This window comes from Homo sapiens, chromosome 7 (assembly GCF_000001405.40).
Source record: "Homo sapiens chromosome 7, GRCh38.p14 Primary Assembly".
Classification (NCBI taxonomy): domain Eukaryota; kingdom Metazoa; phylum Chordata; class Mammalia; order Primates; family Hominidae; genus Homo; species Homo sapiens.
Genome location: NC_000007.14, coordinates 96,110,323 through 96,123,878, shown reverse-complemented (window position 1 = coordinate 96,123,878; position 13,556 = coordinate 96,110,323). Strand labels below are relative to the sequence as shown.

The window sequence follows — 13,556 nt, the reverse complement described above, 5'->3', positions numbered from 1 at the left end:
AGCAGGCAGATCTACCAGACGTCCCTGCCAACCCTGGCCCCCAAAATCAACAGCTCTCTGGTGGCCAAGTTCTTGCCAGTATCTGCTGCTTTCCCAGCCTTGCTTTAGGGCAGCCTGGTGCAGTTCTCCAGGTTAACTTAGCAAATCCTCACACTGGAAATCTCCTGTCCACCAAGATGTCCAAAATTCCTTTTAGGCCTTACCAGATACCTGCCTAGGAGAAACTGGAGCTGACAATGGAGATGATGGGAGTTATGTTCAAGTTGCCATATTCTAGCATTCGCCACAACTCCTATCAGTTTTGCCAGGCAACTTACTAGGTGTCTTTCATACCTGCTTCCTTCACCCCCAGTACCTCTATTTTCATAACAAAGAAGAGTTTATGAAAATTACCCTAGCCAAAGGGAACTTTTTGCCCATTTTATTGCTTGTATGTCTTTCACAGTCACAGTCTGACATGCCTGCCCACCATTGCAAGGCGGCTTTTATTGCATGTCTAAAGCAGGCTGTCTTGCTAAACTCTTTCTAAACCAGGAAGTAAAACAAAATCGGTGGTGTGAACACAGTGGGTTTCTAAGCATTTTTCTTGTTTCCTTCCATTATGTTGGAGGATAAATTCCTGGCCCAAAGTTAAAATAATTCCTACAAATGAACAGGAATTTCAGTATGACTTATCCAGTGAAGCACTGGATATAAAGTGAGCTTTTTGCATGCAGAATTGTGATGTATTTTATAAAACCTCTTGAGATTAATGTTTGAGGAGCTAGGTAAAGATGGAAGAGATACTCCTTCAGTAATATAAATGGAAGCGTGTAGTATGCAGATTTACACCCCCCTTCCAACTCACTGTAACTTTAAAGCTGTCTGTTAGAAGGATGAAATGTAGTTGTGAGCCAGACCATGTTGGTTTGGACAGAAATTCTTACAGAATTATTAAGCCTTAAAAAAAGCAAAGGAGATTTATGCATCTGCATTTGACCAATTTGGTTTGGAATAAGTTCATAATGGAAAAGTAATAAAACCATAAGAGACAGTGTCTTCTGAGTACAGTCTCGCTTTTAAAAAATCTAAACATGCACTGCCCTATTTTGGATACAGTGACTGTAGAAAAATTTCCCATTGGTAACTTTGGGAGGGTTTTCTGTTGTTGTTGTTGTTCCTTTTTCATTGATTATCAGCCAGTATAAATTTTAAGCTTTCTGTCAAATATTTTTCTGGAGATGTCAGTCTTAGGGAAAAGAAATCCTAAAGTGTTATCTGTAGGAGTCTCCTTCTCCCAATTTCACCCCCTCCCCGAAACCTCCACCTCCCACCCCCCAACACACATAGTGTTTTTTAGATATCAGTAAAGTCTTTTTCTGGTGTAACTGGAGAGGTTGGGGTTTGGAGAGTAGGGGGTGGTTGAATGTGTGAGAGAAAGCACCTCCTGTGACTGCCAGCAGCCACAGAAGACCATGAAGAGGAAACGCATAACAAGCTTCACCTCTGAAAAATCGGACCTAATAACTTCGCAAGTTTTTGATTTCAACAGGAAAGAAAAAGAAAAGAAAACCGCTTTCTCCACTTATTCTCAACCACTTGAAGTAGTGTTATTGATAAACAATTTCTTAAAAATATTTAAAGATTTAGGAATAGAAACAAAGGAAATGAAGGCTGAGTGATTTGGGCAAGGGAAGGTGTGAGTCTGGTGGGGAGGGGTGTAGGAGCAGACATCTTGCACACAGGAGAGGCATGGTTGCATTTCCCATAGAGGACAGCAAAATAGGCATTTTATTGAATCGGATTTTTAACTTTCTTTCCACGGCCAGCAGTTCAAAGCACAGTTATTTTTATATAGTGAGAATGTGACCAGACTGAGATGGTGTTGTGTCTCTCCTGCAGGTATGCCTGCAGCATCTTTAGTGACCCCTGCTGATGTTATCAAGACGAGATTACAGGTGGCTGCCCGGGCTGGCCAAACCACTTACAGCGGAGTGATAGACTGCTTTAGAAAGATACTGCGTGAAGAAGGACCAAAAGCTCTGTGGAAGGGAGCTGGTGGTATGGAAATAATGTGTTCTTAACTAACTCTTTGGTATCAGGTAAATTTTTAAAATATCTAATTATATCTGTGATTTCTCCATTTTTTTAAAGCTCGTGTATTTCGATCCTCACCCCAGTTTGGTGTAACTTTGCTGACTTACGAATTGCTACAGCGATGGTTCTACATTGATTTTGGAGGAGTGTAAGTATCATGCTAAATCTGCTGCTAAATTTTGGCTGCTGCTAATGCTCTGTTGTCGTAGGGAAAGGTACCTCAGTCTAGTCTCTATAATAAAATAGAAGAGATTTAGGGAAATGTTGAAATTGTGTTAACAAGGTCATTTCCAAGGGGAACATACAACTGATGAGAATGTATCAACTCCTTTACATTAAATATTTGAACAGGTTTTGAATGTTATTTTTATCAAGTTAAAACAAACAAAAAATACAGCTTCTTACTCTGTTTTCTCTTCTTTTAGAAAACCCATGGGATCAGAGCCAGTTCCTAAATCCAGGATCAACCTGCCTGCCCCGAATCCTGATCACGTTGGGGGCTACAAACTGGCAGTTGCTACATTTGCAGGGATTGAAAACAAATTTGGACTTTACCTACCTCTCTTCAAGCCATCAGTATCTACCTCAAAGGCTATTGGTGGAGGCCCATAGGAAGATCAGCCCTGGGATAGTGCTGTCTTTTTGTGGGTACTGCAGTAAAGAACATCCCTCCTGGGAATGAAGCAATGCTTCATCCCTTTTACGTCCATCTCTTGTTTAAATTCAAGTCCAGGCTTTTTTATCATGTGAAATCATTCATTTTCTGGGTGTTTTCTTAACCAGATCATTGTGAAATTATTCATAATTATTATTTGGCCCTCTGCCCAGAAACCTTTGTTTGCATCTGAAAATTGATGGGATTTGGTCAACACTAACATGATTTGGGGAAAGGAGCAAGTCAGAATAGAAATTAGTACTCCCCTCCTTGAACTAGGATTGTAGTCCCAAAGAGGCTACTGTAAGGCAATCATGGTGCTCAGAGCAGTGTTTCGTGTGTGTTTTAAACTGGTAGGAAACTAGGTGCATATTTATAAAAATAAAAAACACTGGGAGAAATGAAAAAATATATATCAAATATATTCAGCCTGGCTTCAAATTGTAAGCATGCACAAATTCTGTCTCTGGATTATATTATGAAGCTTTTATGTGAAACATGTTTCTTTGTAATGAAAACCACATTGGAGATGTTTAGTAATCATATTGTTACTGGTACCAAGACTACTAGGGAAATGCCTTTGTACTTTAGGGAAGTACTTTTGGCATTTTACTGTACAGACAGAAAAAACTGAGATGTAGCCCCTCTCCTGGAAGTGCTAATTTTGAAAAACTGCTCATATGATGTACATGTACTGATTACTGCCTATTTTAATAAACACTCTTGAAAAATGCATGTTGCCCTGTTGCTGCCTGCCCTATTCTCCTCATCTCCCCATCATTGGTACCCACTTGCTTTTAAAATCCACTTTATCTTGAATAATGTAAGACAAATATGTTCTGACATAAGTATTTAATTCATGTTGCCTTGCATAATGGTCAGAGGCGCATGAATTTGTGAAGGTGGAAATAAACTATTTGTAAAGTGATTGAGTTGTTTGGTCTTGTGCATGTTGCATGGTGAGTGGATACAGTAATTGTCATTATTGGCCTACATGTTTTGTTTTGAGGGGAATTTTATTCATATTGGCATGGATATATCCTCAGTATCTTTCAAGGTAATGTGTTCCCTCATTTTCATGGTTCAAAGTGAGTACAAGAAACTGTATTTAACCATAGATAAGCAAAGAACTAGCAAACTGACACCTTAGTTCTAGTCATTCCAGCACTTTCGGCAGTTTATTGTGATGATGAAGGTCACATAGTTTTAGTAGAACTTAGCCATGAAAACTGGTATGAAATGGCAGTCGTATTTTCTAATCCAGTCTGACTCTTGCACACACCAAAACCATATACCACTGTATCTAACATTTGCTATTATTTGGCTAGCACTATAATGATTTGGGGAAAGAAGCTAGTCTTGAACAGGATTTAAGGCTATTCTTAGACCGTGATCATGCTTCCAAAGAGGCTACTAATTAATCTGTTGGCAGTCTGTATGAACATTTTGAGTTTCCAAAGTTTTTCTCCATAGCAGACAGCCATTTGTCAGTCTGTTTCTGTAAGTCAACAGGCTGACATTTGAAGTTACAGTTTAAAATTGGCAAGAGTCAATACCCGCCATAAATGGCTGATTTTTTAGAGGGGGAGGGTCAGGAGGGGAGTGAAGAGCTTTGTCTTCTTCACTAGAAACAGGACAGATAACATACATGGCTCCTTCTGTGATTATTTGACAAAACCAAAGGGGAATCCCCTCCCCAAATTCAGTGTGATAAGTGATAAATATCTGTATTATAATCTCAGAGACTAGTCACAGAACTCCAAATATGTGTTAGAAATGTGGTTGGTGTTAGAACAAAACATGCCAACTTTGGTCTTTTGAATGTGGAGAAAAGGCCCTGCATCTCTGCATTCCTTTTCTTCACTTGTTTGAGATTTTATGGCAGATCAAGTTTTCTTGGTAAAAACACTGACCAAAAATCTCATAACTTGTCCATGGCCCTGCCTGCCTCTTAAAGAGCAGTTGCATTTAATGAGAGAGCACCCTGTCTTCATTTAGCCTTGTCAGTCACTGAGAACAATTCTCTTTAGTGAATAAGAAGCCAGGGGCCCCAGGAAGCCAATGGAGGTAGGGCCACATGTCTGTGTGTCCTTAAAATCCTTGCCTTATTCTGTTCAGGGATAGGCAGTAATGGGAGACTTTGAAGGAGGCCTAATTTCCCTCTGGGTTCTGCTCAGTGGGTGGTGTTACTGTGACATGCCCTGAACAGGACTGCAATCACCGTGTGGTGAAAACCACTGTAAAATTCGCTCTGGGTTTCCCTTCTTTCTGGTGACAGCACAATCCGTTGTCGTCGTCAGTGGTGTGGCTGTTGTTGGTGCCGTGGGTCGTTTCCCTCTGTAGGGCTGAGGAACTGAAGCTGGTAACTCCCACATGCCTGCCTGCTTGCCTGCCTACGTGAGGGGGCCAGCCTCCTCTGCTCTGCCTGCCCCGAGTCTCCACTCTGCTCCTGGTCCACCACGTGATTCCTTGGGGGTTGGGAGAGAGGTCTGATTTTCATAGCAGCTTTTTTTTTTTTTCAAGGAGGGGAAAAATGTGAAGCTGACCACAAAGTGAACACACTGATTCTTGGGTTCCAGTCATGGCTGGGTTTCTTGAGGCTGGGTGGCATGCTGTCGCCAAGCTCCTGCTACACCTCGTAACCCACAACCATTTGCTGAGCTCCCTGGGGTTGCCTTAATCCCAGAAGCCAGGGTCGCACAGAGGAAAATAAGAATTCTGGCACAGAAAGGAGTCATTTAAGTGCTTATTGCATTTCAAGCTTTAGTTTCTACTTAGCTAAAATATTTACCATTGCTGGAAAACAATGTTTAAAATGTTGTGCTTATATGTTATTTAATGGCGTGGCCTATGTAAACCTCAGGATGCTTACATTTTGACAGTCTTCTGGAAATGTCTAACAGCACATAACCCAGCGAGTGGGGAATCAAAACGGGAACAAATGGCGCTTGAAACTGTTTGTAACCTCCTCCAACTAGGTATTCAGAATGCAAGTCATGCTGGAATGCTTCAGGTAGAGGGAGATCTCAAAAAAGAAATTTGATGAGTCCTGTCTTATGGCCCCATTTATCAACCTTCCAAATAAACTGTCCCTAAAAGTCATCATGTGCCTTTTACCGCAGAAGGCATACTTGTGGGGATGAATTTGTATCCTTGCCACTGAGCAAAATCCCATTTTCAAATCAGGGTAATCAAATGCTTTCAGGATGTGGATTTTTCCAAAGATTTTTAAGAGACACGTTCCCTGGTCAGAGCAGTGAAATGTTCTTTCCACAAATGGTACTGCCCACAAAGGAGTGTGTGCCTTTTGTTTTACCTTTGGGGAATAACCTTCACCAAAGAGTTCTGTTATGTTAGGAAGACCATGGGGAGTTCATTGCTTCATTTTAATGTCTGAGGCATCTAACAGCATTGTCACCTCTGCCTTTTTTTTTTTTTTTTTTTTTTTTTTTTTTTTTTTTTTTTTTTTTTGAGATGGAGTTTTGCTCTTGTTGCCCAGGCTGGAGTGCAGTGGTGCAATCTCGGCTCACTTCAACCTCCACTTCCCAGGTTCATGCGATTCTCCTGCCTCAGCCTCCCAAGTAGCTGGGATTACAAGCATATGCCACCACACTCGACTCATTATTTGTATTTTAAGTAGAGACAGAGTTTTTCCATGTTGGCCAGGCTGATCTCGAATTCCCGACCTCAGGTGATCCGCCTGGCTCACCCTCCCAAAGTGCTGGGATTACAGGTGTGAGCCACTGCGCCCGGCCACCTCCGTCTCTTAAAACAGTGGCAGTCTTCAGCTTGAAAGTCCAGATCGGGATCCATGATGGTTGGGATTGTGTCTCTGATTCTCTTAGTAGAGGCTCCTAGTTATTATTTTGAAGGATGGATGAATGGATGAATTTTTGAGAAACACTCTTGAAAAATGCATGTTACCCTGTTGCTGCCTGCCCTATTCCCCTCATCTCCCCATCATTGGCACCCATTTGCTTTTAAAATTCACTTTATCTTGAATCATGGAAGACAAATATATTCTGACATAAGTATTTAATTTCATGGTGCCTTGCATAATGGTCAGAGGCACATGAGTTTGTGAGGGTGGAAATAAACTATTCGTATTTTTTTCCCAAATGAGTGATCTCCATTATTGTCCTACTTTATAGGCCTTTTCTATTGCTGGAGTTAAAACCATAACTGAAAACAATCACAGTTTTATGTACTGATCACTTACTTTACAAGTCATAAATAAATATTTTATTAAAACAACTAAAGCTATTTAAAATTGACTTTAGTTGAGTCAGGCATTGTCACATAAACTATATGATAAATTTAAATTCCCTGGTCTTGGTTAAAAATAAAACTTTAAAAAAATCATCCTCTGAGATGAGTTTTACATTCTAACACGAGTTGAAATGTATTAGTACAATAGTTGTTCTTATCAATGAATGTATTACTTGTTTACAGCTCACCTCTCTTGTTTCTGAAGCTTTCCCTTCGAAGCTGCTGAAGACAACAGGAACTCTCTTTTAAAAGGGTTTGTTTTTAGCTAATGCATTAATTGACTCCAAAAAGAGTCCAAATGGAACACTCTGCTTTCATCTGCTAGGGTAACCTAATAAAATAATGTTGTTTGCTTTTAGATTCCCAGCCGTTAAGCGGGTTTTGCTCAAAGCAAAACCACAGTCCCGTCGAATAACTTTAGAAGGAAAATTAAGAAGACGCAGTAATTGTGCTTTTCTGAGCCTCACTTCTCCTGGGTCACAGACACACCCCCAGCACACTGGTCTGGCCACTAAGGCTCCAGTGCCTACCGCTGCTTTGGACAGGGCTTCGGCCCTTCAGAGGATGCTCCATTTTGCAGTGGAGCATTTCTTTAAGTGATTTTAAAGTGAACTCAAGATCCCAGAACAGACTAGTGCAAATGTGCTACAGTCTATTCTATAAGATGGGGAAAGGGAAATACAGCTTGATGAAAAGAACTGAAAACATTATTTGTTATCTTCTGTCATTCTCCTCCACCATCCCTAGCTACTTATCCCAGCTCTTGCCCTGGTCTCTTACTGGGCAGCATTCAAATGAGAAAGGAGCACATAATTCAATCCCAGATTTCTGTGGCCAATAAGGACTCATTAAATATGAGCTATTATGTGCCAGGCATGATGTCTAAGGTAATCGTCTTTATCACCCTCAAGGTAGGTACTGTTCTTTTCCCTGTGTTACAAATGAGGAAACCAAGACGGGTTCATCTTCTTGCCCACAGTCTCTGAGCTAGCAAGTGATGGAGTTCAGATTTGAGTCCAAGTCTCATGGCATTCTGTCCTCCCTCGAAGGTTTCTCAACAAACTATATCAAAAATTCTTATGATAGTCTTTGCCCAGGATTTCTTACTGTCTCTATTCTCAGTATCAGATGTATCATTCTAGCTTAGAGTAGAAGGGAAGGGTGGTCTCTGTTTACTTACCATAGTAAGTGCATTTGCTACCTCAAAGAATTCCAGGGCCTGAGGACCAGGTGAAGCCTGACAAGCCTTTTGAGATTCCTCTTAAAACTATTTTACAGTCTATTAAAGTCAGTAAAGAAAGGATTAAGGTAAACTTGAAGCATTTGCCCCACGGGTGTAAAATTGGAAGGTAATGTGGAAAAAGTGGAGGTAAATTTACAAACTGTTACAGTGTAACATGATATGATGCAAACTGAATTGGACCATCTTAAAAATCTCTTCTATAATTAGAAAATGCCGTTGCTCAACAAAAGTTGGAAATAATGGAAAACCAAGTTAAAAGTAAATATCTATGGGTACTTGGCCTCAAAGTGTGTCTGGAGGGAATGGAGACAGTTTACAGAATGTGGGATTTGCTGGAATTACTTTTGGACATGAAATCCCCATCACCACTAATGGTGGACAAGTCTTACTGTATTCCCAAGTTTTCTGCTACCCCTAAAGTGAAAGGAGAGGATACCTACCACTGCATTTTGGCAGCTCTCTGACCCTATTACATGAAGGAGAAAAGATAACTGAAAGACCCGCACCAAATATTCACAGCATATTCTTCCTGGGCAAAATAAAAATAAAAACATTAAAATGTAAAATTCTTCCTCTATTCTCAAAAGAGTAGTATATTTCAGAATGTGAATTTCTGTTTTGAAGCAGAATTTACTTACATAAATTCTAAGTAGTAAGACATGCTTTATCAATTTGAAAATGTATGTCTCCTGATAATTAGCTGCTTAATGTAAGAGGCTATTTTTTATAATAAACTCTTCATTCGGGCTAGCTCCACTGCTATAAAAAGGCTTACCTGTTACAGTAAAATCAGAAAAATTAAAAAGTGGGGATAAAGAAAATTGAAGCAGGCATTTGTTTTTCTTCTGAAGACAGAAGTGAAGCCACTGTTTATTGAATATTTTTTTCTTTTTTGCTATGAAAAGTGGAGATTTCTCTAGATTTTCAGTCTCAGCCTTTTTCCTCCCCACTATGCAGTACATGTACCTCATTCTTCCTAATCAAAGAAGCAGGTCATACTTAACCTGAAATTTCGACTTACCCTTTGACCGCTACTTATAAAGTAGGTGATTATTATTTTTTTTTTAAAACAGTTTGCCCATGTGAGAGTGCACGTAGAGAAACCAACTGTATTAGTCCATTTTCATACAGCTATGAAGAAATACCTGAGACTGGGTAATTATAAAGAAAAAGAGGTTTCATGGACTCACAGTTCCTCATGACAGAAGGCAAAGGAGGAGCAAAGGCACGTCTTACATGGAGGCAGGCAAGAGAGTGCATGCAGGGGAACTGCCCTATATAAAACCATCAGATCTCGTGAGACTTATTCACTGCCTCGAGAATAGCATAGGAAAACCCGCCCCCATGATTCAGTTACTTCCCGCTGGCTCCCTCCCACAACCCACGGGGATTATGGGAGCTACAATTCAAGATGAGATTTGGGTGGGGACACAGCCAAACCATATCACTGACTATTCTGTCTCTTTGGTACTTGAAATTAAGCATGTCATTCTTTCCTTTTATTCAATTTAGAAAGTGTCTTTATTTGGTTTTAATGACTAAGCTTTCTGATACTACACATATCTGGCTAAATTATTAAAAATGATAATGGCATTTGGCATAAGTTAAAAGTTATAACTGCCATCTTTTATTTCAAAACTGTTTCAAAATAAATTTTAAAAAAACAGCAATGTACCTTCAAAGCCCCAAAGTAAATATTAAAGAAATGCTTTGGCCTCTATTGGCATCCAATTCTAGTTTACATCTTTCTGCCTTAAAAATTACACCTTTGAGGCCGGGCGCGGTGGCTCATGCCTGTAATCCCAGCACTTTGGGAGGTCGAGGCAGGTGGATCACGAGGTCAGCAGATCGAGACCATCCTGGCTAAGACGGTGAAACCCCGTCTCTACTAAAAATACAAAAAAAATTAGCTGGGCATGGTGGTGGGCACCTGTAGTCCCAGCTACTCGGGGGGCTGGGGCAGGAGAATGGTGTGAACCCAGGAGGCAGAGCTTGCAGTGAGCCGATATCATGCCACCTCACTCCAGCCTGGGCAACAAGGCTAGACTCCATCTCACAAAAAAAAAAAAAAAAAAAAAAAAAAAAAAATTATACCTTTGGGATGCTGGACGCAGTGGCTCATGCCTGTAATCCCAGTACGTTAGGAGGCCGAGGCGGGTGGATCACCTGAGGTCAGGAGTTCGAGGCCAGCCTGGCCAGCATGGTGCAACCCTGTCTCTACTAAAAATACAAAAATTAGCTGGGCTTGTTGGCAGGCACCTATAATCCCAGCTACTTGGGAGGCTGGGGCAGGAAAATAACTGGGAGGTGGAGGTTGCAGTGAGCCAAGATTGCACCATTGCACTCCAGCCTGTGTGACAAGAGTAAGACTTCATCTCAAAAAAAAAAAAAAAAAAGGTGTATATATATATATATATATATATATATGTATGTGTATATATATATATGTATGTATATATATATATACATACATATATATATATACACATATACACACACCTTTGGGAGATTTCTGCATCTGGCCATGATGGAATCATGAAGAAAACTAGAAAACTGGACAAAAATGTGCAATACAATACATAGAAAACTGCACAAAAGTATACAATATAATTTTTTTTTCTTTTTTCTTTTTTTTTTAGAGATGGGGTCTCGCCATGTTGCCCAGGCTGGTCTTGAACTCTTGAGCACAGAGAGTCCTCCCACTTCAACCTCCCAAAGTGATGGAATTACAGGCCTGAGCCACTACACCTGGCCCCGTAATACAATGTTTTCAATCACTGGATATGAGGCAAAATAAGACTGTGAACTCCAAGAGAAAGGAAAGAGGTAAGACCTACCATTGTCCCAGCTTACTGCCAGGAAGCAGTTTCCAACTATTGTGCAGAGAAGGAGAACCCAAACAGCCCAGCAGCAATCTCCCCAAATTAAAAAGATGGACATCAGAGAGGAGGAAGACCATGACTGTTAGAATTTGTAAGACAAAATACTGAACAGAAGAGAGCTGCTTCTAGCTCTGGAGTTTTGCAAAGTTCTCAACTCTTTGGCCAAATATTGATCTATTCATTTGTAAAAGGAAACTATCTAAAATTTGGGAAAGAATCACTAGAGAGACAGAAGCAGAAAAATTCTGGAGCTCACAAAGGGGAAATAGTTTGTATTTGAACCAGCTAGAGTGCAAGGTCCTCATAATACATAGAACATCAGGAATAATCTTCAGAAGAGTGTCACAATATAAATAAGGCTAAATTCATCCTAAAATAAAAGTGACTCTGCTCTTAAAGCTTAAAAACAAGACTTGACAGGATCCAACTCATTCCAAGTAGCTTAACTGTCAGAACAAAATTCAGTACTATTTAAAAGAATACAACAAAATTGCATAACATACAATGCCAGATTTACAATGTCCAGGATCTAACAACAACAACAACAACAAAAATCACTATTCATAAAAAGAAGATAGAAAATACAAACTGTAGCCAGGTGCGGTGGCTCAGGCCTGTAATCCCAGCACTTTGGGAGGCTAAGGTGGGTGGATCACTTGAGGTCAGGAGTCTGAGACCAGCCTGGCCAACATGGTGAAACCCTGACTCTACTAAAAATACAAAAATTAGCCAGGCATCGTGGCAGGCACCTGTAGTCCCAGCTACTCGGAATGCTGAAGCAGGAAAACAGCTTGACCCCAGGAGGTGGAGGTTGCAGTGAGCAGGGATAGCACCACTGCACTCCACCTAGGCAACAGAGCAAGACTCTGTCAAAAAAAAAAAAAGAAAGAAAGAAAGAAAGAAAGAAGAAAGAAAATAGAAAATATGAACTGTAGCAAAGTGAAAAACCAACCAATAGAAACAGACCCCAAAATCAAATGTGATGGAACCAGCATCAAGACCATTAGGACAGCAATTATAAATAATCCATATAGTCAAGAAGGTAGGGGAAAATGTGGTATGTAGATAAATGAAAGATATAAAAGACATAAAGGAAATTTACAATCTCTGAGATGAAAACTGAGTGAGAATATAGTAGACACTGCAGAAATGAAGATTAGTAAACTTGAAGGCACAGCATAGGAAATTTTGCAAAATGAAGCAGAAAAAGAAAAAAAATCTTTAAAAAATGTAAGGACAATATAAAGCAGTAATGTGTGTCTGTGACCCAGAAAAAAGAACAGAAAAAAATATTTAAAGAAGTAATACCTGAAATATTTCCAAATTTAAGAAAAACTATATACATACAAATCTATGAACCTCATTGCACCCCAAGAAAAACAAACCTAAAGAAAACTCCACCAAAGTACATCATAATGAAAGTGATGAAAGCCAGTGATAAACAGAACATCTTAAAAGTAGCCAGAGGAGAAAGGACCTATAAACCTCCAGAGAAAGATGATAGGAGAAGATTTTTAGTGGGAAAGTATACAAGGCAGAAAACAATGGGGTGATATCTTTAAGAAATGGAAAAAACAATGTCAACGAAGAGATACATACCTAGTAAAAATATCTTTCTTAAATGAAAGCAAAATAAGACAGAAAAAAGAGAATTCATATTGCTGATAAATTAAAGAACTGTTAACTATAGTTCATTAGGCAGAAGGAAATAATACCAGATGTAAATATAGCTCTATACAAAGAAACGAAGAATGATACAATGGGAAAGAATGGGTACATTTTTAAAACAACTTTTTAAATTAATTTTGGAATTTCTTTAAACAAATAATTGACTCTTTAAAGCAAAATCAATGATTATATATTGTGAGGTTTATACCCTATGTAGTAAAATGCACAACAATAGCACAAAGAATAAGAGAGGGAAATGGAAGCATAATATGAAAATGTTCTTATACTATACATGAAGTGGTATACTATTATCTTAAGGTAAAGTGTTATAAGTAGAAAATATATATTGTAAACCCCTAGAGCAAATGCTAGTAATGATAAGAATACAAAATAAATAAAACAGATTTGGCTAATAAGACATTAGTGGGGAAAAATGGAAATCTTAAAAATAAAAATCCAAGTGAAGACAGGGAAAGAGGTAAAAAGAACAAAGAACAGATAGGGCAAATAAAAAAGACCAAGACAGTAGATGTACCTTACCATATTGATAATTACATTGAATATAAATGGCCTAAACACCCTAATTAAAAGAAAAGATTATCAAATTAAATTTTAAAATGTAAGACACAACTATATGCTACCTAAAGCAACCAACTTTAAATGTAAAGACACAGATAAGTTGAAAGTAAATTGATGGAAAAAGCTATACTATCTAATCACAAAATTATGAATAAAAAGCTGGAGCTGGCAATACTGATATCAG

At 39.2% G+C, this 13,556-nt stretch overlaps 1 protein-coding gene across 6 annotated transcripts in view; it reads left to right on the top strand.

Moving 5' to 3' along the window:
• SLC25A13 (solute carrier family 25 member 13) overlaps window positions 1-3,659 on the top strand; it is a 201,879-nt gene extending 198,220 nt beyond the window's left edge. For all 6 annotated transcript variants that reach the window (NR_027662.2, NM_014251.3, NM_001160210.2 and 3 more), the window contains 3 exons: window positions 1,882-2,040; window positions 2,134-2,224; window positions 2,502-3,659. Coding sequence is in view for 5 of the 6 variants with exons in the window: in NM_014251.3 (NP_055066.1) it covers window positions 1,882-2,040; window positions 2,134-2,224; window positions 2,502-2,688 (437 nt within the window). In the remaining variant the exon portion in view is untranslated. The remainder of the gene's footprint in view (window positions 1-1,881; window positions 2,041-2,133; window positions 2,225-2,501) is intronic.